The 27,188-nt window shown below is 51.9% G+C and overlaps 1 protein-coding gene and 1 long non-coding RNA gene across 5 annotated transcripts in view, besides 4 other annotated features; one reads left to right on the top strand and one right to left on the bottom strand.

The window, feature by feature from the left end:
* Nucleotides 1-2,506: 2,506 nt before the first annotated feature.
* Nucleotides 2,507-27,188, bottom strand: part of MAL (mal, T cell differentiation protein (MAL blood group)) — a 28,285-nt gene continuing 3,603 nt past the window's right edge. The window contains exons 2-4 of one of the 4 annotated variants that reach the window (NM_002371.4): nt 8,373-8,540; nt 6,793-6,918; nt 2,507-3,118 (exon numbers count right to left, since the gene is read on the bottom strand). In NM_002371.4, coding sequence (NP_002362.1) covers nt 3,044-3,118; nt 6,793-6,918; nt 8,373-8,540 — 369 coding nt within the window. In that variant the 3' untranslated portion in view covers nt 2,507-3,043. The remainder of the gene's footprint in view (nt 3,119-6,792; nt 6,919-8,372; nt 8,541-27,188) is intronic. The other 3 variants (NM_022438.3, NM_022439.3, NM_022440.3) reach the window with 3 other exon arrangements.
* Nucleotides 8,258-8,797: an enhancer, noted in NCBI's record as "H3K4me1 hESC enhancer chr2:95713447-95713986 (GRCh37/hg19 assembly coordinates)". NCBI's record gives its function as "activates a minimal SCP1, AML or CMV promoter by ChIP-STARR-seq in primed H9 embryonic stem cells {active_cell/tissue: H9 hESC(primed)}" and the evidence as "EXISTENCE:reporter gene assay evidence [ECO:0000049][PMID:30033119]".
* On the top strand, nt 8,426-10,614 carry LOC124906047 (uncharacterized). The gene is made up of 3 exons (XR_007087138.1): nt 8,426-9,223; nt 9,721-9,984; nt 10,352-10,614. It is a non-coding gene; the product is annotated as an uncharacterized LOC124906047 (long non-coding RNA).
* Nucleotides 12,256-12,911: an enhancer, noted in NCBI's record as "H3K4me1 hESC enhancer chr2:95709333-95709988 (GRCh37/hg19 assembly coordinates)". NCBI's record gives its function as "activates a minimal SCP1, AML or CMV promoter by ChIP-STARR-seq in primed H9 embryonic stem cells {active_cell/tissue: H9 hESC(primed)}" and the evidence as "EXISTENCE:reporter gene assay evidence [ECO:0000049][PMID:30033119]".
* Nucleotides 14,492-14,611: a silencer, noted in NCBI's record as "silent region_11738". NCBI's record gives its function as "represses an Ori minimal core promoter by ATAC-STARR-seq in GM12878 lymphoblastoid cells {active_cell/tissue: GM12878}" and the evidence as "EXISTENCE:reporter gene assay evidence [ECO:0000049][PMID:35858748]".
* Nucleotides 23,844-24,759: an enhancer, noted in NCBI's record as "H3K4me1 hESC enhancer chr2:95697485-95698400 (GRCh37/hg19 assembly coordinates)". NCBI's record gives its function as "activates a minimal SCP1, AML or CMV promoter by ChIP-STARR-seq in naive H9 embryonic stem cells {active_cell/tissue: H9 hESC(naive)}" and the evidence as "EXISTENCE:reporter gene assay evidence [ECO:0000049][PMID:30033119]".

The raw sequence follows: 27,188 nt of genomic DNA, 5'->3' as shown, positions 1-27,188 counted from the left end.
GTGGCTGTGGCTGCAGCTCTGAGCAGCCAGCTCTTCTCCAGGAGACGCTGAGTGCAGGGCCTGGCCGTGGCCGTGGGCTGCTATAGGCCCTGCTGGTGGACTGGGGCTATCCTAAGTGCCTGGCTTCATCACTCTCTGAAGGCTCCTGCCTACCAGCATCCTGTCAACCACTAAATCTCACTGCCACTTCCTGGGAGACGGGAGGACGGCCCGCGTGAGGACAGGTCTGGGTGCCTTGAGGTCATATCAAGCCCAGGGCTTCAGGGCCAGAGGGAGGCGGCCCTCAGTCCAACTGCACTTCTCACCACCTGCACCAGCCTCAGTTTTCTCACCTGTAGGATGACGTGGCCACTGGGAGAGTGACAGAAAGCTATATATGGAAAGTGCTTACACAGTGCCTGGCACAAGGCAAGAGCCCCCAAAATGGCAGGGAAGATGGTTACACAAGAGTGAATTTGGGTCTTCTGGGCAGTTGCGTTTGATCTAAGTGAGGGCCACAAGCAGGCAGTCTGTGAGTGCCTTGGGTGGCACCAGGCTCTGCCTTAGAGGAGGTCCCCTCCTGTGTAAGACAGAGGCAGAGAGGTGAGGGGTGCCAGCAAGAAGCAGCTTTGGGGGCTAGAAACCATCCCCTCAATGGTCCCAGCACACAGAAGGTGCTCAGCCGGTGCCCCTCTCTGCAGCCTGCTTCACCCAGCAGGCTTCTCTAATGTCCCCATTCCCAACCCTTCCTACCCAGGCATCGTGGGCTCCCAGGGGAGCAGCACCCATGGCTGGCAGGGCTGCCGCCAGCACTCATGTGTACCTGCAAGCACAAAACAGCCAGATAGGGACAGAGCTGGGAACAGAGATGCAGGAGCAAAGAAACCCGACAGGGGCTGGGGTGTGAGGGTGGGGGGTGAGGAGGAAGAGCAAGACCGGAAGGGGGCATTTTTTGAGGCTGGAAATGAAACCTTGCCCATCCAATTTACATCCAATGTGAATAGGATGCAAGTCAAATGTGAAATGAAACTGCAAATTTAAAATATGCCCAGGGCTAGAAGGAATAAGAAAGTGGCGTCAGAGAACCATCTGCAAAGCCTTTGGCTAAATTAAAAATAGAGAAAGAGTATATGAAAGATTTTTTTAAAAAGAGAATGATTAAAATGTCAAAACATTGAGAAGCCCTTGGGAAACTAAGCCTTCCATTTCTCCTCCTCCTTCTCCCCCTCCTTCTTCTTCTTCTTTTTGATGAGGGTAAAAAGTGAGCTTCATTAACATGTTGATGGCTTCCTGTGGACAGTTTTGTTGAAAAATGAGACTTCTCTCAATCAACACTGGATGGAAATTTTGTTAAACATGTAACAAACTTCCTATTACTTCTCATTAGGTAAAGCCCCAGTCAAACCTTTTGCTCATGATATACTATGAAATGTTGGCTGTTTGACGTGTACTTACTAAGAGTGGCTGGTTTCTGGTACCAGTTATCCTGGATTAACAAAGGACCTCCTGAATAGACCAATTTAGTTGTAGACTCTCCAAGTTGAAGAGCAGTAAAATGTCAACTAAACTCACCACTTGAGGCTTGAATTTTATTTTTATTTTATTTTATCATTTTATTTTAGAGACAGGGTCTTGCTCTGCTGCCCAGGCTGGAGTGCAGTAACACCATCACAGCTCACTGCAACCTCAAACTCCTGGGCTCAAGTGATGCTCCCACCTCAACCTCCTGAGTAGCTGGGACCACAGGTACATGACACCGTTACAGCCTGAAGCTTGAATCTTTGTCCCCATGGCTGCCAGCAAGAGGTTGCAGATGCTCTACCACACACCTCCATGGCAGGAAGCTCACGGGTCTTCAAGCACCTCTTCCAGCGTCCCATCTCTGGAATGGCACTAACTTCTCGGAGCCATGGGATAAGGGAGCGTTTCATAACAGAGCTGGGCTTTCCAGATTCCTAACTCAGTGCCTCCTTCCTAATCATCCCATCTCCTTTCAACCCAGACATCTCAGACTTGAAACATGGCATTCACCCCTTGTCACCGTACTTCCTTTCACTCTGTAATTTCCTCTCCTTTCTCTCCTATGGAGTGGCCCGAGGAAATTCTAAAATAATGTATTATCCACACAATGGGAACAAAGCAGACTGCCCAGGAACACGCTGATGAGCTTCACAATGAGTGAATGAAAACTTGTGCACCGTGTTTTCTTTTGGTGGAAGGAGGTTCTAGTGGGGCACAGACTGTTGTGTCTTGTAGGAAGGAGAAGCTGCCCCTGGCTGGCACTTGGCCAGTTTCCAGAGAGAGGGGAAGCCATCTGGGCAGGTAGCTGGGAGGGTGGGCTCCCCAGCACCGGGCTCTGAGAGTGCAGTGGCCTGGCACACACAGTGTCCGTCGTCTGAACTGCCACCTGATGCTGTCTCTTGAGATTCAGGTTAAGTCAAAGGATTCCTCAGAAAGAAAGCTGAATTGATGGTATTCTTGATGCTGAGGAATTCAACCCAAACCCAAAAAACACCCAACAAATGTATTGAACATTAAGACATTTTATAAAGTATTTCACAGGGTTATCGTCTTCCACCATGGACCTCTGGAAAGATCTGTTGGGTGAGTTTTAGTCCCCATGACATGCAGAACATCCATGAAGACTTAAAACATGGCACAAGATGGGGCGCTCGGGAGAGCTTGTGGACAATACCAACAGGTAGTTCTCGAGAGCTGCTCCAGGGGTCAGCAGAGGATCTTTCTTTCCTTCTCAGGTCACGGTCGCCACTTCCCACCCCCGAACAAGAAGGTCCCCTTTCACAAACAGGAGGTGACCCTAGCAGACAGCACAGCAGTTGGAGGTTAGACACAGCAAGCTCCCAACCCGGACGCGAAGGCACACGGGAGAGTAAACACAGCACCCACGAGCAACAGGGCAGGGCTTTTTTTTTTGGGCAGTGGGGGGGTGGTTGTTTTCTTTTTTCCACCATCAAGGGCATTTCTGTTTTCTAAAAAGTTATGCCGGAAAGTGGGGCGGCCAGTTAACACCATCTGGGTTTTCAGCTCAAGTTCTACTGCGGCTTTATGAAGACTTCCATCTGATTAAAGAGAACACCGCATGGACCACGTAGAGCAGAGTGGCTATGTAGGAGAACACCTGGAACCAAGAGAAATGGCCGTTAATGGGTTTGTGTAGGGAGGGCGAGGCACAGCGTCTGCACTGCATCCAGCCCCACGTGGCGTAGGGGGGGCCAGACCCAGAGAGCTTGGGCTGTCATTGCTTCTCACCCTCACATGGACGCCCTCCCTGCTGAGCCCAGGTGTGCACCAAATCCTCTCAGTACAGAGCTCCATGTGACCTAACAGTCTCCTGGATCTGGTGTGGAAGGTAAGACTCTCCACTATCACCCAGCATCACATTCGTCTCAGCTTGAGGTTTCGGCTGACTTGAGATGGAGTCCTCAAAGACCCCTCCAATGAAAGCATCTCAGGCAGGTAACTCTCCAGGGACAACTTCCTCCCCCAACACCAGTGAGACCAGCGCCCTCCAGCTGTGGTCCTGGTAGCTCGGTTGAGAGATTGTAAATACCTGGGTTTGCTGGCCCTGGTGAAAGTCTCCATGCTGCCTGGACATTCTCACCCTATCATTATTTTGTTTTAGGATTCTTAATATCACAGGTGTGGCTGAGAGAGCCAGACTTCATAGGAAGTGAGGGACAGAGAAGGGGAGAAGGGATTTTGAGCTTTTGTCTAAAGGAGGGGCCTTACTGTTGGGACCATCCAGTCAGCCACTGTGGCCCTTGGAGCGATGGCCCTGCTTTCTGGGGACTTGCTGTGTCCTCCTGGGCACTGTCTGCTCCCATCACCCTACTCCCTGAAGGCCTGCCTGCTGCCAAGTCCAATCTCTGCACCTGGTTTTGTGACCTTGGTTAGGGGTCAAGAGTTTCCAGCTCAGGCACGACGTCCATTTAGGGCGGCTACGCCTCTGTGACTCCTGAAAATGCTCATCAATCCCAGCCCTCAGGGTGCCTGCTCTCCTGCCCCTACACCTGGCCAAGCCCTTTCCCTCATTGCCTGGAGGCGGTGAGTAAGCTGAATTATTGAATAACACATTTAAGAGAACGTATCTGGGCAGGAGCAGTCAGACACCAGTGGGCAGCCCTCCATAAAAGGTGGGCATTCCAGACCAATGAAAGCCTTTGGCAGAAGCACCTTGGAAGTCCCCAGCAGGAAGAGCAGTGGAGACTCATTTTCCAAGTGGGGTCAAGAAATGGCCCACTGGGAACACGTAGAGCTGGGCACGAATGGGCAAATTTTGGCTTCAGAAAGCCCTCTCCCTAAACTGTAGCCATCACTGCCCACCATTGTATAATCTAGAAACCTCCAGATTTCTCCAGAAATTTCCATCTCGCCCCAGGCGACTTCCACCCATCCCTGGGGTCCCTTTGGCAAAGCAGCTCCGCCACCCACAAAGGAGAGAGGGAGGAGCTCAGCTTGGAACAGACCCTAATTAGTAGCCACACAGTGGATGTGAGGCAGGCTGGCTGCTTCCAAAACCAGGCTGTGTGAGAGAGGGTGTGAGGTGCCTCCCTGTACCCAAGTATCCCCTGGACTGGGCATGCTGTGGTTGGGCGGGTCTGGGATTGAATCCTGAGTAACGAACTTCTTTCTCTCTCACAGACGGATGCAGTTGATACCGTGAGTTGAAAGGTGTGACTTTACATCGAACGCCGTGCAGATTTCCCCTTGGTGGTTTTATCTGGGCACATCTGCCAGCTGAGAACACTCTGGTTCTCAATTCTAACGCTCCTGTCTGCGTGAACATATTCGTGTCTATCCAACTCAACTAAAAAAAAATGGGAACATGGTCAGTCATGGGATGGATAAATAGATGTTGGTCTATTCCTACAAGGGAATACTATACAGTAATGAGAACAAACAACCCACATCTACACCCAGCCACTTGGGTGAGTCTCACAAACACAAGGGTGAGAGAAAGAAGCCACACATGAGTACCCACTGTATAATTCCACTTATATGAAGTTCAAAGGCAGGCAAAACTGAACATGGTGCTAGAAATCAGAATTGGGTGGTGGTGGGGGTGCACAGTGATGGGGACAGGACTTGAGGGGATTTCTGGGAGTTGTTTATCAGGCCCTAATTCTTAGTCCAGATGCCAACTACACTGGGGAGTTTGCTCTATGAGAATTCATCAGACTGTGCGCTGGTAACTGGCCCTAATTCTTAGTCCAGACACCATCCACACAGGGAGTTCGCTGTATGAAATCCATCAAGCTGTGGGCTTGTAACTGCACACCTCTCTGGCTGTGTGCTGCCTTTGATAAAAGGTAAAAGAGGAAAGTCAGAAGGCAGTAGAGCCTAGTGGTTCTCAACTAGAGACCTGCCCAGCGGGAAGGGGTGTTCATTCCCCTAGCTGGGTTTTTCCATCAAGTGCTGACCCACTAACCACATCCCATCTACATTTCGCAACCTTTGTTCACAACAATTTTATGGAAATTATTGTCAGACACTTTGTTGATGTTTGTTAAAAGAGAAGGCTTGGCTGGGATGGGGGAGGTATGAGGCAGTCTTGGGAGAGGGAGATGAGATGGAATTGTGTGAAGAAGATGGAGGGTGGCTCACCAGCCTCCCCAGGAAGGAAGATCAGTCAAGATGCCCCCTGGCTGTGCTGCTGCTTGGAAACCAGCCATGTTGGGAGATGGGCCAACACGGGAGATGTTTCCACACCGCGGGACCCCTGGGGGGATGCCAGGATCCTGAGGGGGCCCTTTTTAGGGGAGCGATTGTAGGCTGGGAGCTTGAGGGCAGTGTGTGGTTTCCCCAGGGCAGGGGACTGTGCAAGGGGACCAGCAAGTGAGGCTTTGAGGGATTTTCCCCTGGGGCCCTCCTTCTGGGAGTGGGAAGAGGCACTTCACCAACCCCATTTCTAAAGCCTATCTGTGGGTCTTCTCTCAGCCTCTGCCCTACACTTTCCAAAAAGAGGGGATGACACAGCTTTGGCTACTAGAGCTGGTATCTCAGGATCTGTCACCACATTCTACCTTGGGATTTGCATAATTCATAGGTTAAGTTCTAGAGATCTGAAGAGTGCTCTTTCTGAAACTTCTTACTTTTTAACAATACCCATGGTCAGAAGCATGTTTTATATCGTAGACTGGTGCAAGGGCACACATGCACAGCTCTGAAAAACATGTGATGAAACAATATATTCTGTTACCCTGTCATTCTGATCCAGTCCATTAAGAAGAAAATCCACCTGGCCTCAGCGTCCCCACCCCTGGCTGGATGCTTCAATGGACGACCACTTGGGGAGAGTCAGGAGACCCATGAGGTCAGACTCACAGCCCCAAACTGGTGCTGAGAGTGTGGGGACTGGGCCTCCAGCGTTGATGCCAGGTCCCACAATGACTGGTGATCTTGGGCCAGTCACACTCTCTGGCCCCACTTCTCCATCTGTGAGATGGGTGTCATAATCCTGGGTTGTAGGGTTGCCATGGATGTTAAATAAGATTGTTCAGGGAGCACTCGGACAGGGCGCTGGGCAGCCGCATCCCCTCACACATCTGCCCTCTGCAAAGCCCACGCAGGCCTGGGGCATGCAGCCCTGGCCGGACGACTAAGCGGAGTCTTGGGCACAACATGACACTGCCCTTCTCGGGGGCTTTCCTGCTCCAGGCATGAAGGCAAGGTTTGACCTCACTCAAAAGTTAGTGAACTGAAAACAGACCAAGGGCCTAGGCAGCCTCCACACACACCCTGCCAGCCACGGAGCCGCCCGCTGTGGACACAGCCCCAGGTGCCCGGACTCACCACGGCAGCAATGTTTTCATGGTAGTGCCTGTAGGTGAAGCCGTCTTGCATCGTGATGGTGGCCAGGGCCTCCAGGACTGAGGCGCTGAGGTAAAAGAGGGCAGCGGTGCAGTGGTAGGCTGCGTCCTATGGGGCAGACGGGGTGTCAGAGGGATGGGGAGAGAGAGACGGGGCCCAGATGCAGAGCTGAGGTCCCCTCCACCCCCGCCCCTTGCCTCTCCCCCCACTTCCTTTGAATCCCACCCCTCCCAACCTTGTCACGGAGGTCCCATGCCTGCCCTGCTGTGCTGAGTCTCACTTCACTGCTGTGGGGCCAGAGTGAGCACTTTGCTGGGGATGGGACACTGGTCTCCCCTGAGGAAGGGTCAAGGGAGAGGTGGAGGAAGGGCCAGCAGCTTGGGGTGTCCCAGGGAAAAGCTGGTCCTGGATCTGAGAAGTGTCGTGCATGGCCACAGTCCAGGTTGGGTGTGGCCTCGCTGACCAGTGCAGGGTGAGGGAGGACCATGCTGTTTCTTTCGTTTTGTTTTGTTTTGTTTTGTTTTGTTTCATTGCTTATTTTTGGCCCCTGGTATATTTAAAAGCAAAAAAGGGCTGGGCGTGGTGGCTCATGACTGTAATCCTAGAGCTTTGGGAGATTGGTGCAGGAGGATCTCTTGAGGCCAGGACTTGAGACCAGCCTGGGAAACATAGTTAGATCCCCATTTCTACACAAAACAATACATCTTAGCTGGGTGTGGTGGCACATGCCTGTAGTCCCAGCTACTCAGGAGGCTGTGGCAGGACGATCACTTGAGCCTGGGAGGTTGAGGCTGCAGTGAGATGAGATTGCGCCACTGCACTCCAGCCTGGGTGACAGAATGAGACCCCCAACTCAAAATAAAGTAATAAATGAAAGCAAAAAGGTACTAAAACAGGGTTTTGTGTAGTTGTGATTTGGAAGTGATTTCAAAAGTCTAAGTAGCAGAGCTTTTGAGAGTGACAGCCTTGGCCAAATGGCCCCACCACCCCTACAGCAGGTAACAGGCAAGTGTCCTACATGTAAAAGTTACCTTTTCATGGGTCTCAAAGCAGAATTTATACAGAATAATGACCAAAGGCCGCTTCTGTTTCCCAGTGCTCTCTGGCAGCCCTGCTTGGAAGGCAGTGGCTGAGGAGCTGGACAGTAAGCATGGCCTGACCCTCAGAGCCAGGGCCAATTTCTGGAGCCCAACACCTTGGTCGGCCTCTGGGGCCCTGCTGCCTTGAGGTGAAAACAGCCCTTGCAGGTGATGGGAGGGGCAGGCAGGCACCTGGCGGGTACAGGTGGTGTGGGGGCTGGGCAGCTGGTTATCCATGGAAAGGCAGTCATGCAGGAGAACACAGAACAGGTCCAGTGAGGGTTGGCAGCGGCGACCTTGCCTCTGCCCCTGCCTCTCCTGATTCTGCTGCCAGGAGCCCTGGGCAGGCTCAGCCTTGGAACATGGTGGGGTGACATCTACGGAGAAGTCTCACCTGGCACTGGAAAAGCCCATCCTACTGGGCCAGGGACCAGTACTTCCTGCGCCCCCCTACAACCAGCAGCCACCCTGGGCTGGACTCACCAAGGTGACCCAGGAAGTCTCTCCACCGTGGGCTCCAATTATGTACAGGATGATCAAGGTGGTGGTGGCCACGAAGCAGAACACAGACACGAACATCACCCAGCCCTGGACCAGGGGCCAGGGCACCAGGGAGGAGGCCACCAGGATCCACACCAGGCCCCCGAAGATCTGCGGGGGAGGAGGAGGGGTGAGTTTTGGCCTAGAGGAGAGCCCCAGCCCAGGAAGGGCCCCCGACCAGCGGTCACATGGGGTGACTGGAGTGCAAAAACACAGGAAGCAGGCAAAGAGAACAGGGCAGGCATTTTCCTCTGCAAAAATGCATCTTTAGTCCCCCCAGGGCCCTGTGCTGGATCTCAATCCCAATCCCCGGCACGCTTGCCCTGATTAACTTTTTAAAACTTTTTTTTCTTGAGACAGAGTCTTGCTCTGTCACCCAGGCGTGAGTACAGTGGCGTGTGGCTCACTGCAACCTCTGCCTCCTGGGTTCAAGTGATTCTCATGCCTCAGCTTCCTGAGTAGCTGGGATTACAGGTGCATGCCACCATGCCCAGCTAATTTTTCTATTTTTGGTAGAGACGGGGTTTCACCATGTTGGCCAGGCTGGTCTTGAACTCCTGACCTCAGGTGATCTGCCCTCCTCAGCCTCCCAAAGGGTTGGGATTACAGGCGTGAGCCACTGCACCTGGCCTGAGTAACTTTTTAAATATGGGTTTAATTTTTTTATTTAACAAACACTTATATCAGACCTACATTCCAGGCACTATCCTAAGCACTTTACAAATAATAACTCAGTGATTCTCACAGTAACCCTCTGAGCAATGCTGACCTGTTTGCCAGATGAGGAAACTGAGGTAGGTGGAAGTTAAGTAATTCATCATTCTGAGAAAGGATTTATGCCATTTGGTATTGTCATGAGAAGAGCTGCTATTTCTTCTGATATTCTAGCCCTCCTACTTGCTTTGATATTAAAATGTCCTTTCCTTTATGCAATGGTAGTGACCAGCAGATCTTTTTGGTCTTTATTTGGCAAAACAAATTAACCACACTGTCAGTAGTCCCCTGCCCTGCCCTTCCTTTCTTTCTCTCTCTCTCTTTCCTTCATTTCTTCTTCCCTCCCTCCCTCTCCTTCCTTCCTTCTTTTTCTTTCTTTCTTTCTTCTTTCTTTCTTTCTTTTTTCTCTTTCTTTCTTTCTCTTTCTCTCTTTCTTTCTCTCTCTTTCTCTCTCTCTCTTTCTTTTCTCTCTCTCTCTCCCTTTCTCTTTCTCTCTCTCTCTCCCTTTCTCTTTCTCTCTCTTTCTTTCTCTTGCTCATTATTTCTTTTTCTGGATTCAACTGTTTATATTCCCAAGTCCAGGAAGTGTTCTGATGATCAGATTTGGAGTTGGAATGGAGTAACCAAGGACAGCCTTGTCTCTTTGGATGGCTGAGGATGGGCATGAGGAAAGTACAGTCCCGTGGTTATCCAGAATACACCCCAGTTGATGTCGCCAGGGTCAGTGAGCCCCATACAGTCAAAGAGGAGCAGACATGGGGGCCAGTAGCACCCCTCAGTAGCCCAGCCCCGCTCCTCGCCGTGGATGGACACATACAAACCCGCTCCCCACCGCGGATGGGTACGTACAAACTCCGTTCCTCACTGTGGACAGGCGTGTACAAACCCCAGCGGGGACTTTCTGCACTTCTCTTTCCCTTCTCCTCATCTCCCCCAGCGCCACCCCCACCCAGTAAGAATCAGCTCAGCCTCATCCACATGTTCCCCACTTGGATGAGGACTGGGCTCGAAGCACTCCAGGCCTATGTGGAGATTCCTTTGCAGCCAAAAGTCTCCAAGGTACTACAGAAGTGTCTGGGGGGCTGAGGATGGGGCTGCCCTCCCAGGCCTATGTCCCCTGTGGTTTGAATTCACATAGCACCTTGACCCCCCCACCTCCCTGCACCTGCTGCCCACCTGCTGGGTGAGAGATACCGCTGTCTTCACAGGTGTTCTCTGAGCTGCTTGACTGAGAAGCAATCAGGAGAGAATTGCATTTGGGTAGAAAAATCAGTGCAATGAAGACTTTGGATTTATTAAAACCAAGTTGTCCCTAAGGAATCAGATGTGGGCATCTCTGACCAGAAAGCGTCCTCTGCTGATGGATCTTAGGTTGCCTGAAGGCACGTGGCAGGGCCGGTGGGATGCACTGTGCATCTTACAAAAATGGGAGCAAAATCAATTAAATAAAAATGCCCAGACCACCATGGAATAAGATGTGTGTGTAGATTTCATCCACAGTTGAGTTTAAGATTCAACAGATTATGTGGCCTTTTCCATAACGGGCACTGACGGAGGGACAGGAGCACATTGGTACAGGCAGGGCTTGGATTCAGGAGGCATGCGAGGGTGGCATGGAGAAATAGGAGGAGGATCCAGCGGGCACATCCAGTGGGAAGAGGGAGGCCCTGGCCTGGGAACCCCTCTCCTAAGTGCCTTTTGCCTGGTGGCTACGTGACCCTCCCAGGAGGACCAATTTAAGTTGCTTCCTCGTTCACACAGTCTCAGGGAGTCCTGCACGTCTTCTCTGTAGCACTCAGCACAAACACAGGTATATTGGGTTAGGGATAACATGGCGCTTTCCCTGACCAGGTGATGGTGGGCTTGAGGTCTGCCTTGCTCACAGCTGCCTCACTGGTGGGGACCAGGAGAAGACCCATCCAGCCATGCATCGGTGTCCAAGTCAGCTAACGGGCCTTGGTCTCCTGGTACCTGGGTGTGGCTGAACTAGAGCCACTTATGAACCAAACCCCAAAGGAGCAGCTTGGGTTGCACATGGTTGGGAAGAGACTCCGTTATGGAATCCCAGTGGGACCCCGTGGGCCAGAGGCGCTTACGGGTGACCTATACACATGCTATCGAGGAACACTGAATTTCACAGTGAGGAAACGATTTTCCTCCTCCTTTACTCTCTTTGGTTTTTCTGATGAAGGCAAGAAGGGCTCAGGGTGGAGCCAGGTGTCTGGAGTTCTCTAATAGCGTGGATAGGCAAAGGTAAACCGGATAGTGACATTGTTTCTATGCTTATGGTTGCAATGTCATTATTTTGGGAAAAATTAACTGTAAAATACATATGAGGTAAATTAATGCACAGATGGCAGCTGGAAATGGCAAATCTGAGAAGGTAGTCCTCAGCTCCTGTCTGCAGAGTCATCTCACTCCACTCCATTCTTCCCACGTGGCTTAAGATGTGACTGGTGTGAGGAATCAATGGCAGGAAAAGTGAGGGGAAGTCAGTGTGTGGAGAGCTGGTCACAGCCTCCTGTGTGCACCTTGCTGGCTGCAGCCACAGCCTGGGCTCTGAGCTTCCGGCAGCTGCGCGGAGGGCCTTGAGGTCAGGCCAGACTCTGCCCTGTTCCAGTGTGTGCTTTTACCAACCTGATGAAGACTATTTTCCAGCTCCCTGGGAAATTCCATGCTCCCCACACTGGCTCGCAGGTTCCTGCAGTCTATAGTGGGAACCTTGTCCACAGTTGTCCATAGAACAAAGCCCACTATGGGTTTAACCCCAGCTCCTGACAGATCTCAGGACCCCACCCAGCCTCTGGGGGCATCACCTTGCAAGTGAGTCCTTTAAAAAATGAGGCCGACTTTTTTCCTTTGCATGGTATATTTATAGCAGTATGTTTCATAGTGAGATGGTGGGGAGACATTATCTTTTTCTTTTCTTAAACAGCTTTATGAGCTATAATTCACAGCCCATGCAGTTCCCCCATTGAAAGGGTATGATTCCCTGGTTTTCAGAATATTCGCAGATACGTGCGTCCATCACCACAGTCAATCTTGGAACATTGTCATCACCTTGGAAAGAAATCCCATGAGCTGTGGCTTCCCTGCCCCCATTCCAAGCAACCACTAATCTACTTTCTATCTCTACAAACTTCCATATTTTGAACTTTCATATGAATGGAATCATTCAACATATGGACTTTTGTGGCTCACTTCTTTCATTTAGTATAATGTCTTCAGGTGAGAAATTCTCTCTCAAGGGGACTTACACAGAATATCTCTACCGTTGCAGCTGCACAGTGCCCCTTTTGGACCCCACCATTCAGGGGGCCCTGGGTGAGTGTGTCTCATGTCCCTGGAGCCTCCAACCCAGAAGCCTCTGAGGAACCACGTTCCTAGGGACGCTCTTACACCAGTCCTTGCCTGTCCCAGAAACATATGAAGGTGAAGGTAGTCACAGATGTCTCAGCACAGATGACATCATGAAAGCCAGGGGTTTGCTCCCAGGGGATGGGCAGTGGGGCGGTCGACCTTCCGCTCAGCACTGCCCAGGAGATGCCCAGGGAGGACTGCAGAGCCCAGGGTCACAGGGGCCATCTGGGGGACAGGGCGGAGGAGGGTGAAGAGCAATCCTGAGAAGAAGAGGAGGATACGGGAAAGGCACAGCCGAGTCAGGAGAGATTTCATTCCCGGCTAGGTGTCTGTGGAACAGAAACAGCTGTTGCCTCAGCTGAGTCATGCCCCTTGCCTTTGGAGCACAGGCCTTTGCCGCGGTCTTCTCTGGGAGAATTCTAATGCAGAGGCGCCCTGCCAGCTCCCTCCCCTTGGCAGGGGACTCCCGTTCTCAGAGGAGCTGTCCTCCGAAGTCACTGTGGGACGCTGCAGCAAGTGATTCTGCCTCTTGGCCCCAGCTTCCTCTCTGCAAATGGCAACTCACAGCAGTCTCCCCACACTGGGGGCTGGTGTGAACTGGCTAAAACTACAGATGTGAGTATGAAGCTTCTGGCACTGAGCCCAGCACTACCAATACCTGGGAATAAGTTGTCGTTCATGCAGGAGGCTGACAGCTCAGTGGAAACAGATGCATAAGCAGCCACTTAACATGCAGGTGGACAACCAGCCCCGAGTGGGCAGAGCAGCCTGGACAGGTGCATAGGGTCAGTCGAGCCTTGGAGAGAGAGGTGGACCTAACTGGTTAACCAGGCCAAAGGACTGGGAGGGGCTCTCCAGAGGGCAGAAAGGGCACATGCCAAGCTCAGAGGATGCTGAAGCAGCTGTGAGGGCTTTGGAGGCTGAAGGCTGGGCAGCCGGGCTTGGGTCAAGGAGTAGCAGAAGGTGGGGCTCCAGGGAGGGTGAGCCTCCAGCCCCGCTGTGTGCAAAGCTGAGATTTGTTGTAAACCATGAGTCAAATCTGGTTCCTGCCCTGCTCCACCTACTAAATGTACAGAGAGCAAACAGAGTAAGAAGGGCACCCACACCAGGGAGTTAAGGCACTCCTGGGCACAGAGCAATCTGTTCCAGCCTGGCCTCAGGACCCCGCTGGCCAAATATTTGTCCAGAGCAAGGGAGTATGTGAGGGTTCAAGCATTTCCTTTCATCAAGGAGACTCCAGGTGGCTCCCAGCCTCCAGGTGGCAGTGCAAAGAGGCAATTATTTTGAAAACATTATTGGCACCCTGGAGGCACGGTGCTGTGTCCCCTTTGTTTCTGCCAACTGGCCAGACTTCCTCCGACCCCACAGCTGCACCCTGTTACTGTCCATCAAAATAGAGATGGGACAGCTGGCTGGGTGATCTCAAAGGTCTCCAGTTGGGTGGCTGCAGAGGGATAAGGGTTGAGTGCTCTGAGTCCCAGGGCCTTGAGTTAGAAGATGGGAGTGGGGCCTCAGCAAACACTCTATCCTCCTCAGCCCTGACTATACATTAAGTCACCTGGGGCACCTTTAGAAAAAAACCACCAAAGCCCAGGGCTCATGCCCAGAGTCTGATTCCCATGAAAGAAGCAGAGTGATGGGGCAGATGTCCCAGACTCTTGGCCAAGGCCTCGTGATGTGTTGCCGTAACATAAGGCCATGGGCGATGCTCTGTAACTCCTGTAAGACAGAAGAGGAAACGGCTCCTGTCTCAAGGCCCTGCCTGCCTTCCAGCGATGCCAGCCGACTGCCCCCCTCCAGGTCCTGCCCAGCCTCTCAGTGCAAAATGTCGCCCTAGTGTTTCCTCTCCTTTCCCCTCCTCTCCTCTCTTCTCCTCGAGCTTGGAACCCTTTCTTGCCTGGAACATGAGACTAGCTCGTCCTTGGGTTTCCTCTGAACTCTGAGATGCAGCCTCACTGTCTCAGGATGGGGACTGAGAGGGTGCATGGGCGTTTGGAGGCCCCTCCCAACCCTGGTATGACAGAGCTGGAAACCACCCATCTTTAATTCTGTCCAGTTGTCGGGGGGTTAGCAGAGTTGAGCTTCTCTAAGAACATGGGGTAATGTACAAAACTGGACAAAAAGTTTCCAGAGTTCACATCCATGGTCTACCCAATGAAATGATGTTTGTGAAAAAAAAAATCTGTCAGGAATTGTCTTCCTGGGAGCTCTTGTGTGAACTTGGAGAAGCTTCTCATGTTTTCTTTCCAAATTAATCATGGGAGGCAGCCAGGGTGCTTAAGAGGTGGTTAAGGGTGTGCACTTGGGAGCCAGGGTTGACGAGTTTGAAGTGAGCTGTGTCACTAGCTGGGTGACCTGCTGTCCCTGGGCAAGTTATTGAATCTCTCTGTCCCCTCATCTGAAAAGTAGTGATAACAGTAGTTGTGACTCAGGTTATATCTGCAGGGGACCAGCACCCGGCTGCCACTAAGCGCTTGTTGTCACAACTGTCATTAGATGAAGCAGCCTCTTCTGTAACTATGTGAAAAATCCCAGCAGTCTGAATATGATCTCAATACACACAATCATCTACTCCAAAACTTGTCCAAAAAGAGCCAGAATTTTAAAACAACCTCAAAAGAATCAAAAAGAGAAAACCTATGGTCTCCAGAAACCAAAAGTTGAGAAAAATGTGCCTGACCCGCACAAGGAAGCACAAAGGGCACTAAGATATGAGCCGGCCTTCCTTCCAACAACGGGCCTGGTCATCAAGGACGGGAAGACGCATTCTCTGGCACATTCTTGAGATTCGTCTGGAGTTTCCATTCCCTGTGGCTGAAAGAACTCTTCATCCACAGTCCCCAGTGTTTCCGCTGCAGGGCTGGGTAACAGAGGCAATGCAGAGGGCTTGCTCAAATTCTCTGGATATTTTTCTGGGGCTCCATTTCACTCTGTTAGGGCCTCCACAAACGGAAATTCTTCCAAGGACACATCAAGACATGAACCAAAGAGGTCTTCCCAGGCAAGGCTTTCCATCTACACACCTGGTGGTGTGGTCCCCAGAGCCCAGCATCAGAATTCCCAACAGCACCGAGCACGTGGTGTGTGCCTTTAAAGGCATATGTGAACAACAGTTTGTGCCTTGAATTCTTGAGGTGTAAAGGAAACCAGCCACAGAACAGAGGCTGTGCACCATTGTTGAGCTCCCCTGCCACTTAGGTCAAGTGGCAAAAATCATCTCCCCAGAAAGGAAAAGAAGAGATGTCCCCGCCAGACGAGGGAGGCATGTGGACTCATCCCCGTCTGCTGGGAGGACTGCGGGAAGCTCCCAGCCCTTCTGTGCTTTCCCAAGGCCACCAGGAGGAGCACCCCCCACTCATGTTTCTGGCAATCTATTCACTCACTGAGTCGTCTTAGCAGCCAAGGGTTATTTCAATGCCAGGAGGACATTTTGTGTAGGTCATCTGACCAGAAAAACAACTGTGTGGTTCAGGAGAGGCTCAGCAGGCTTTGCCCAGCTCTATGGGTTGATTGATTTAAAGCTAATCATTCTAAGAGTGAGATAGAGGGTAGGAAGCATTTTTCTGTGCGTATGTATGTGTATGTGTGTGTGTGTGTACATGTATGCTTGTGTATATGTGCATGCATGTGCCTATAAGTATGTGTATGTATGCACATGTGTGTACTTCTCTGTATGCATGTGTATGTGTTTGCGTGCAGGTGTGTATTCATGTATGTATGTGTGTATGTCTGTGCATGTGTATGTATGTGTATGGTGCCGCATATGCATGTGTATATGTATGTGTGCATGTGCCTGTGTATGCCTGTGTATATGTGTGTGCACGTGCATGCATGTGTGTGCATGTGAATGCACGTGTGTGTGTGTGTGTGTGTAGGTAGGTAGAGCTGGGTTAAGGATGAGCTACTGTAGAGCAAGTAAATGGCACAACAGGCTTTGATGCCCGGATGAAGTTAAGAGGGCACCGAGCACCAGGTGGTAGGAGAATGAATATGCACAGAGCAGGAGGTCAGGGGAAGACCCAAGACCCCTAAATGCTGAAGGCTTCCGCAAAGTCCTGCGGCTCTTCCCCTAAGAAAATGCATCTGAGAGGGAGGATAGGGGACTCTGTTCCAGTTCTGAGAGGCAAGGAGTAACACCGTTTGGCTTCTTTATTTGTGTTAGCCCTACCTACCTCCTGGTACGAAGGAACTCAGTCCCAGCAAGCCAGAGGGAAGCTTCCCTCACTCACTCAGTCACTCACTCGCTCACTCACCCACTCACTCACTCAGTCACTCACTCAGTCCTCACTCAGTCACTCAGTCACTCACTCAGTCACTCACTCAGTCCTCACTCACTCAGTCCTCACTCAGTCACTCACTCAGTCACTCACTCACCCACTGTCACTCACTCACTCAGTCACTCACCCACCCACTCAGTCACTGACTCACTCAGTCACTCACTTACCAAGTCACTCACTCACCCACTCAGTCACTCAGTCACTCACTCAGTCACTCACCCACTCAGTCACTCAGTCACTTACTCACTCACTCACCCACTCACTCACTCACTCACTCACTCAGTCACTCAGTCACTCACTCACTCACCCATTCACTCAGTCACTCACTCACTCACTCACTCACTCAGTTACTCAGTCAGTCAGTCAGTCACTCACTCACTCACTCACTCAGTCACTCACTCACTCACTCACCCACTCAGTCACTCAGTCACTCACTCAGTCACTCACCCACTCAGTCACTCAGACACTTACTCACTCAGTCACTCAGTCACTCACTCACTCACTCACTCAGTCACTCACTCAGTCACTCACTCACTCACCAAGTCACTCACTCACCCATTCAGTCACTCAGTCACTCACTCACTCACTCACTCACTCAGTCACTCAGACACTTACTCACTCACTCACTCAGTCACTCAATCAGTCACTCACTCACTCACTCACCCACTCAGTCACTCAGTCACTCACTCACTCAGTCACTGACTCACCCACTCAGTCACTCACTCAGTCACTCGGTCACTCACTCAGTCACTCACTCACTTGCTCACTCAGTCACTCGGTCACTCACTCACCTACTCAGTCACTCACTTAGTCACTCACTCACCCACTCAGTCACTCACTCACCCACTCAGTCACTCACTCAGTCACTCGGTCATTCACTCACTTGCTCACTCACTCACTCAGTCACTCGGTCACTCACTCAGTCACTCACTCACTTGCTCACTCACTCAGTCACTCACTCAGTCAGTCAGTCACTTACTCACTCAGTCTCTTACTCAGTCAGTCACTCACCCACTCAGTCACTCAGTCACTCACTCAGTCAGTCACTCACTCAGTCACACAGTCACTCACTCACTCAGTCACTCAGTCACTCACTCACTCACTCAGTCACTCACCCACTCAGTCACTCAGTCACTCACTCAGTCACTCAGTCACTCACTCACTCACTCAGTCACTCAGTCACTCACTCAGTCACTCACTCACCCACTCACTCACTCAGTCACTCACTCACTCACTCAGTCACTCACTCACCCACTCAGTCACTCACTCAGTCACTCACTCAGTCACTCAGTCACTCATTCAGTCACTCACTCACTTGCTCACTCACTCACTCACTTAGTCACTCACTCACTTAGCCACTCACTCACTCAGTTACTCACTCACTCAGTCACTCACTCACTCAGTCACTCACTCACCAAGTCACTCACTCACCCACTCGGTCACTCAGTCTCTCACTCACTCAGTCAGTCACTCACACACTCAGTCACTCAGTCACTCACTCACTGAGTCACTCACTCACTCACTCAGTAACTCACACAGTCACTCAGTCACTCACTCATCCACTCAGTCACTCACTCATCAAGTCACTCACCCACTCGGTCACTCAGTCTCTCACTCACTCAGTCAGTCACTCACACACTCAATCACTCAGTCACTCACTCACTGAGTCACTCACTCACTCACTCAGTCACTCACACAGTCACTCAGTCACTCACTCATCCACTCAGTCACTCACTCAGTCACTCACTCACTCACTCAGTCACTCACTCACTCAGTTACTCACTCACTCACTCAGTCACTCACTCACCAAGTCACTCACTCACCCACTCGGTCACTCAGTCTCTCACTCACTCAGTCAGTCACTCACACACTCAGTCACTCAGTCACTCACTCACTGAGTCACTCACTCACTCACTTAGTCACTCACACAGTCACTCAGTCACTCACTCAGTCACTCACTCAGTCACTCACTCACCCACTCAGTCACTCACTGACTCAGTCACTCACTCAGTCACTCACTCACCCACTCACTCACTCACTCAGTCACTCAGTCAGTCACTCACTCACTCGCTTGCTCACTCACTCACTTACTTAGTCACTCACTCACTCTGTTACTCACCCACTCACTCACTCAGTCACTCAGTCACTCACTCACTCAGTCACTCACTCACTCACTCAGTCACTCACTCGCTTGCTCACTCACTCACTCACTCAGTCACTCAGTCACTCACTCAGTCACTCAGTCACTCAGTTAGTCACTCAGTCACTCACTCAGTCACTCAGTCACTCACTCACCCACTCAGTCACTCACTCAGTCACTCACTCACTCAGTCAATCACTCAGTCACTCACTCACTCAGTCACTCACTCACCCACTCAGTCACTCACTCAGCCACTCACTCACTCATTCACTCACCCATCAGTCATTCACCCAGTCAGTCACTCACTCACCCACTCAGTCACTCATTCACTCACTCAGTCACTCACTCACTTGGTCACTCAGTCACTCAGTCACTCACCTACTCAGTCACTCAGTCACTCACTCAGTCACTCACTCACCCACTCAGTTACTCACTCAGTCACTCACTCACTCACTCACCCACTCAGTCACTCACTCACCCACTCACTCACTCATTCACTCACCCACTCAGTCACTCACCCACTCAGTCACTCACTCACCCACTCAGTCACTCATTCACTCACTCAGTAACTCAGTCACTCATTCACTCACTCAGTCACTCACTCACTCGGTCACTCAGTCACTCAGTCACTCACTCAGTCACTCACCTACTCAGTCACTCAGTCACTCACTCAGTCACTCACTCACCCACTCAGTTACTCACTCAGTCACTCAGTCACTCACTCACTCACTCACCCATTCAGTCACTCACTCAGTCACTAAGTCACTCACTCACACACTCAGTCACTCAGTCACTCACTCAGTCACTCACTCACTCAGTCACTCACTCGGTCACTCACTCAGCCACTCACTCACTCACTTGGTCACTCACTCAGTCACTCACTCACTCAGTCACTCAGTTAGTCACTCAGTCACTCACTCTCTTACTCACTCACTGACTCACTCACTTGGTCATTCATTCATTCATTCACTCACGCATTTAACAGATGCTGACAGTGGCATGGTCAACACTAAGGCAGGCACACCCAGGGAAATGGATCTCATTCAAAGACACACTTTAATGAACGTAGCCCATCTCTCCCTTCCTCTCCTCTCTCATGCAGTCTTGCCACAGTCCCCACTGGAGCAGTTCTGGGTCCACCAAGGGTGGATTCAGGCCTGGTGAAAGTGTCAGTGTCTGAGCAATGGTGACCAGATACCAAACGTCACACAGGACAGGTACAGAGCCCGGTAGTTGGCACAAGATCCCCACCTGAGCCCATGAGGAGAGATCGGGGGAGGGGTCCGAGATTCTCTGGGTGGTGACCCTCTCCCTGCATCAACTGAAAAGGCAGATTATTGGGAGTCTGACCCCTGGGACTGCTACCAAAGAGAACCCTGGGAGCGGGGCTGGGACCTGACTTGGTTTACCTACACCAGTCACTCTCCCCTCCTGGCCTCTTCATTAGCAGGCTTCTTCCTCCCAGAGGGACCCCTCATGCCATCATCACCCCCAGCTAGCCTTAGACAGTGTTCCTTATCTAATCTGAAGGCAAGAGCAGGACTCAGCGGGTTTGGATCAGTTTGTGAAGAAGGGGATAGAGATTTGGGATTAAAAGATCGAAGAGCTGTTGCTGGGCACGGTGGCTCACGCCTGTAATCCCAGCACTTGGGGAGGCTGAGGTGAGCGGATCACGAGGTCAGGAGATTGAGACTATCCTGGCTAACACGGTGAAACCCCGTCTCTACTAAAAATACAAAAAATTAGCCGGGTGTGGTGGTGGGCGCCTGTAGTCCCAGCTACTCAGGAGGCTGAGGCAGGAGAATGGCGTGAGCCCAGGAGGCAGAGGTTGCAGTGAGCCGAGATCATGCCACTGCACTCCAGCCTGGGCGACAGAGCAAGACTCTGTCTCAAAAAAAAAAAAAAAAAAAATCTAAGAGCTGAGTGGAGGGCCATAGTTTATATTAACAAGGCAAGTTGGACTGGGAAGAGCCCCCTGTTCAGGCTTGCAATCTCACCCCCCTTGAGCCCCAGGGAAGCCTCTCCCATAGCACACGCTGCCAGCAGGACAAAGTGACTGCTGACTTAACACCCACCTCCCTCATGAGCTAGAGGATGGTCACTAGTTCCTGAATGCACAAAAACTCCTCTCAGATCCACAAATCTAGGGGCTTTCTGATAGGCATGTCTTCATTTGAATGGAAAATTCTGCCTACCACATCTACACCTGCTGGCCTTACCCAGCAGGATAAACAGAAACCAAGAGGTTCTGTGAAAATACTGGGTAAGCCACCTGTAAAAGGCAAAATCCGTGGAAATGCTGGACCAGACAGGAGTGGCTTAAATGCAAGAAAAACAAAAGGGATTTATGGGAGTCACCAGGTAGGTTAGTAATGTGAACAAACCAACAAAACAGGTGTACACCTGCCAGAGGCGACAGAAGGCTGCCCGCCCAGGGTCTGGGAGGGTCCAAGGGAGATGGAACTCCCAGAGTCTCTTGGGGACTGGCAGCCTTTGTCAGTTTCACCCTCTGTCCGCCTTTGAGGTCAAGGACTCATCTTATGATTCATCAGTGTTAGGTAGGTGAGAGAGGAGACCCGAGCCCCTTCCCTACCGATGCTTGCTGAGAACAAATGTTTCAGAGTTCTTGATCTGTGCCAGGGATGTGGGCAGACTTAGGGTGTAGGCACGAGACAGACAATAAGCAAAGGTCTGCAGGATGTGCTCTGAGTGCCAGGAAAGGGTGCTAGAAGGGTGGGCTTCCCGGTGGAGGGGATGGGTTAGCTCGGGCCTAAAGGGTCACCTCCAACAAAGAAGCATTCCCACTGCTGCCCCCAACCTGACCACAGATGGAGATGAAGGAGGTCTGTGGCTGGTTTTAGAAATAGTCCTGAGACCCATAAGCTCGGCGGTTCCTTTCCTGCCAGGCCCCTCAATCCAACTATGCCCTCCTGCCAAGCAGCTGGGGGCCAGGATGGAGGCTGGGGGAGGTGAGGGCACAGGTTTTTGCCAGAGGCTGCCCCCTCCCTGAACTGATGCCCTTGCATACAGCCGACACACTGACACTGATGACAAATCGCTTTTGAAAGCTTTAATCTGAGCCTGCTGATAATTCATTCCTACGCCTGCGGGCAGATGTAGCTATGTGTCACACTCAGAATCCACAAAGCTCTGCCTGCCCATCTTGGCACCAGGCTGGCAGGGTGATGCAGAGAGGCTTAGAAAGCAGCCTGCTCCCTGGGCAGAAGGCAGGCTGGGGCTGCCACACTGTCCTCCACCCCTTGGCTGCTCCATCAAGCTCTTAGCTGAGGACACACTGACCTCTGCCCTCAGTTGTTCCTTCTTGGTGAGAGGAGAGCCACTGGGAAGGCCCCAGGAAGGTGGTGTCTGTGCAGGACTCGGTGACTCCAGGGAAAAGTCAAGTGTGCCCTCCACAGCCTGGCCCAATCCCAATCCTCATGCAGCACCTGCCTGAGAATGGAACAGAGGGCACCTATGGCAAAGGTGATGGGGGCGGGCCTTGCGGACCCTGCCATCGGCACAGGTCGGCCAGTTGGTTTCAGAGCAGATGCTTAAATTATTAGTCAACTAATAATAACAGCACTTGATAGCTATGGGGCAGTAGCTATGTGAGGCAGGTGCTGCTATGTCCAAATTTTACTGATGCAGAAACTGAGGCACAGTTACCTGCCCACGTTCCCACAGCTGCCGGGTGCTCCTTTGATGAGCTGGCTGAGGCCCAGATCCAGGCCCCCATGGGTGTGACAGTTACCTCTTGTGTCTAGGGTCAGCTTTGGAAATGGCCATGAGATTTTTGTTTTGATGACAGGTTCTCACTCTGTCACCCACACTGGAGGGCAGTGATGCGATCACAGCTCACTACAGCCTTGACCTCCAGGCTCAAGCAATCCTCCCATCCCAGCCTCCTGAGTAGCTGGGACTATGGGTGCAAGCCATCATAGTTGGCTAATTGTTTACATTTTTTGTAGAAATGGGGTCTTGCTATGTTGCCCAGGCTGATCTCAAACTCCTGACCTCAAGTGATCCTCTCACCTTGACCTCCCAGAGTGCCAGGATTACAGGCGCGTTAACATGGAGCCTCCTCCATGTTAACTAAGTGGCGAATAACCACTTAGTCTTTAGGCCACTCCCAGCCGGCTTCTCCCTCCCTGGCCCGCCACTGAAACAATGAGTCTCAATATCCTCTGTTTCTTCAGAGGAAAACAATAGCAAGGTTTGTGTTTAAGACACATACAGCACAAGATGAAATGCCAAAGGATCCCGCTCCCTCTTCGGCAGATGCAGGCCTGTAGTTCAGTCTGAAGAAGAGGGAGGGGCTGCCATGCAGACCCCACCCGCCCCACTCCACTGACAGGTCAGGGAACGTCATCTTCTGTCCTTCCCCGTGGCCCTATTCCTGGAGTGCCCACCTCCCGGGCCCCCCGTGGGCCTCCCTCCAAGTTGGTTCTGGGACCTTCACTTTCTGTCTCCTCCCCCTGCCCTTCCAGCCCCTCCCCTCCCAGCCCACTGCATTCTCACAGGGACTGGAGGCTGTGGCCAGGAACTGCAGGTCAGTGAGGCTGGCTGTGCGACCCTGCACCTTCTCTTCCCGCTGCGGAGGTGCTGTGGCTGGTGACAGGCTTTCCTTTGATTTCCTACATATGTTTTGCAGGACCCAGGGCCCGGGTACATTAAAATGATTCACCCAATCCTGGCATAGAACACTAGCTGTGAATGAGGTAGCAGCGGCAGAGAGCCTGGGGAGAAGTGCTGCAGAGAAGCAGAGTGTGGCACGTTCATGACCCCAAGAAGGGAAATGGCTACACTGCTCATGCCCAGCTAGGAGCTCACTGGGTATCAAACCTTTCACCAGGGTGTCAAAGGCAATTTGGAGCCTTCCAAATTGATGAGAGACCACGAGGGACCTGCTCCATGCTCCATGCCCTTGGGAACAATCTGAAAGCTGTGAGAAGGAGCTGGCCACACACCCCAGAACGTTCCTGCTTCAAGGACAAGGGGCACAGTCCCCCACTGTCCTCACACCCATCAACACCAGGAGGGTACACCCTCTGGGGTGTCCTATCAGCACCTGTCCCTGAGGCCTGCTGGTCCAAAGCACCATGTCCGGCACTGACACTGGAGGGGCCAGGAGGAAGCCCTGGAGTGGCTTAAGTCAGCCCCCAGCCCCTTCTAGTTCAAGTCTGGCTGGCTCTGTCCTGTGTCAAGGCAGGTCCCAGGTGGTCCAGTCCCTACTCCCAGCCCCTTCTCTGGAGAATGTGTCTGGGCCCAGGACAAAGCCAAGCCACTGCTAAGGCTGTGCAGAGCTAGTCTGTGCTGGCAGCACAATATGCTCTGCCCCTCGCCTGCTGGTGTGGCGAGTATAGGTGCAAAATTCAGCCCTTGTCCCTGGCCGACCTGAGTGTGAGCGCTGCTGGCAGCAGCATCGTGGGGCTTCCTACTCACTTCTGAAAGCACTGGGACAGAAAGGGTGCCTTTGCACCAGTTCTGGCATTGCCCCATCCCTGTGAGGTGGGGGAGTGACTTATGAAAAGCTAAAAGGCAATCTTTTAAAATATAGCTCAGGTGTGATGACACATGTCTGACAATCCTGTGGAGATGAGCCCCATCATCACACTTAGCAGTTTCCAGGGAGCAGCTCAAAGTTACTGAGTCCTCACCAAAGCCAGCCTCTGGTCTTGAAAAACCAGAAAAGTCACTTCTCCACCAAACCCCTGTGAAATCTCTGTCTAGAACACTTCTCCTCCCTTTAGAGAGGAAGAGAGGAGAAAACACGGAAGATCAGGCAGTAGCCCTCTCTAAATAGCTACAGAGAAGGGACAGAGCCAGGAGCCAGTGGACACAGTCAGAGAAGGCCAACTCAGCCACCATCCCATTCTGGCCAAGCGGGGCCTGCCCCACTCCCTGGTGCCTGTAGGAGAGGCTCCTAGCTAGCACAGCAGGGAACTTTCTCCAGAACAGAGGAGGTCCCTGGTCTGACTTGTGAGAACCTCAGAGCACCTGGCTGCTTGCCCCAGCCTCTCCCTGAGAACTGTTCCCACTATTCTATCCCCCATAAAAATATCAAGAGGGTGGCCTGGCCTCGAGATGTCCGCTCCAAGTCTCAGCCAGTCAGTGGAGGGTGTGCAGTGCAATGCGGGTTCTTCAACCTGCCCTGGACCTCGTGACTCAGAACCTGCAGGGTGTGTTTTTGACAAGGAGACCCAGAGGAGGTGTGAGCTTCCCAGTGGTCCTGAGCTGTCCCTTCATTCCTGTTGGGGGAGAGAAGGGACCAAGCCTTGCCCAGAGCTGCCAGGTGGGCAGGGCTGCCTACTCAGGATCCCAGTGTGCCTTCTAGTGCAAGCAAAATCTCGTGTGGCTGATTAGGTGAAAGGAGAAGCCTGGGCATGATCTGCTCACTGCCAGAAGTGCTCACTGGACCCTGGAGACCCGGTGACCCAGGCAAGTTGCTCCCTGTCTGAGCCTCAGTTCCCTGCCAGCTCTGAAAGTGAGGTTTCTGTCATTCTACGTCTCTGGTCTCCTAGGAGTTCCCATGCCACCTTCTCAGTGCAGCCACAGCTTGGACCACCTAATGCGAAACTGCCTCGCTGGCCCATGGCCCAGTCCCGGCTCTGTCGGGCTGGCTATTCCCCAGCCAGGTAGAAATCTAGCAGAAGTCCCCAGACCTCTCTGGTCACTCTTAATAACAGTCCAGTCACTTTGGGTCACAGAAAAGGTGTCATTTTAGTCATTACTCTGTCCAGTTCACTGTAACTGTCAAAACTGCAAACTGATTGCGGGTGTCTCCCCACCCCAACCCCAACCCGTGATGTGACTGCACTTCTGTTCGTGTTTCTGAGGCACAGAGGAGGAAGGGCATGCCCCTGGAGGGCTGGGCGGCATTCCTCACACCCTCACTCACAACCCTGCCTCCTTTGTGGCCTGGGGAGGAGGGGGCTGAGTAGATGATCTCACAACCCTCTTCAGGCACTTCCTTCACAAGTCCTGAATGGGTAGGGGGTCTCTCCTGGCACTCTGTGGGAGACCTCGCATCTGGGGGCCCCAGCTGAGACAGAAAGCCTTCCCTGTGAACCTTTCATTCCCTGAATGGTGGCCCAGTGTCAAGGAAGTCCCTGGCTTAGAATGGAGACGGAGACAGAGACAGAGAGTGGCTCCAAAAGGAAAAGTTCCTCACTGGGTGGGACTTTTGCAGGGGAGCAGACGAGAAGCAAAGCCCTGGGTTTTGTTGGAGGAGGGGAGAGCATTGGCTATTTCACCCTTGGCCTATATGGGGCTGCACTGATGACCACACCACCTGCAATAGGGGCACAGCCTCTGTGGCTCTGGAGGTATTTGGAAAGGCAGTCTCACTTCCTAGTTGGGCCTGCCTTCCTCTTCCTGTGAGGACTCTGCAGCTTTCAGAGGTCAGGAGGTCTGGGATAGGGGTGCTGGGCCAAGGAGAGGTTGCTATGCCCCACCCTGAGCTGCCACCCTCACTTGCTCCAGTGGGCAGTCCCCTCACCATGGAAGTGGCGCTCCACCCGGATCAGCTTGGACATCTGCGCCTCCCAGGCTGTTGGGAGGTCAGGCATGGGAATCTGAACTATGAGTCATCAACAACTCAGTGGACTACAGATTTAAAAAATAATCAAGCATTTCACACCCATTGGACTAGCAGAAAATTATAAAGTCTGACGCTACCAAGTGATGAGGAACAATGGCGACTTTCATGTGCTGCTGGTAGGGGCCGGGGAAGGTCCAGGTTTAGCCTGAAGCTTAAACAATCAGGAGGACCATCTTTATAAGAGAATACAAAATTAGGCAGAGTCTTGGAAGGGGCTTGAGTAAGTAGGGGTCTTGAACTTAATTAAACATCAGCTTCCCAGTAAATCTGCTCCTGGGGTGTGTAAATTGGAATTACTCTTTTGGACGGCAATGTGATAACACCTGGGAAAATGACAATGTGCATATCCCCTGTGACCCAACAAGTCACATCCTCCAAGTGTCTCTGGGAGACATTTCCAACAGGTAACTACAGAGGCAAATATGAGAATGTTCTTAGCAATGCTGTCTGCAATAGCTAAAGGCAGCAAATTGGAACTATCCAAAGTGTCTATTAACAGAAGACTGGGTAAACAAAGTCAACATGTATAAATCTCAGAACATAATGTTGCCTGGAAAGCATGTTGCAGAAGGATACGTACTGTATGCTGGCATTTTCATAAAGTGCGAAAACATGTAAAACAATGCCATGTGTAGTTCATATGTGTGCAGTAAAAGTCTAACCTGTGC

The sequence above is a fragment of the Homo sapiens genome, chromosome 2, assembly GCF_000001405.40.
Source record: "Homo sapiens chromosome 2, GRCh38.p14 Primary Assembly".
In the NCBI taxonomy this organism is placed as follows: domain Eukaryota; kingdom Metazoa; phylum Chordata; class Mammalia; order Primates; family Hominidae; genus Homo; species Homo sapiens.
This window is presented reverse-complemented; position numbering and strand designations above follow the sequence as displayed.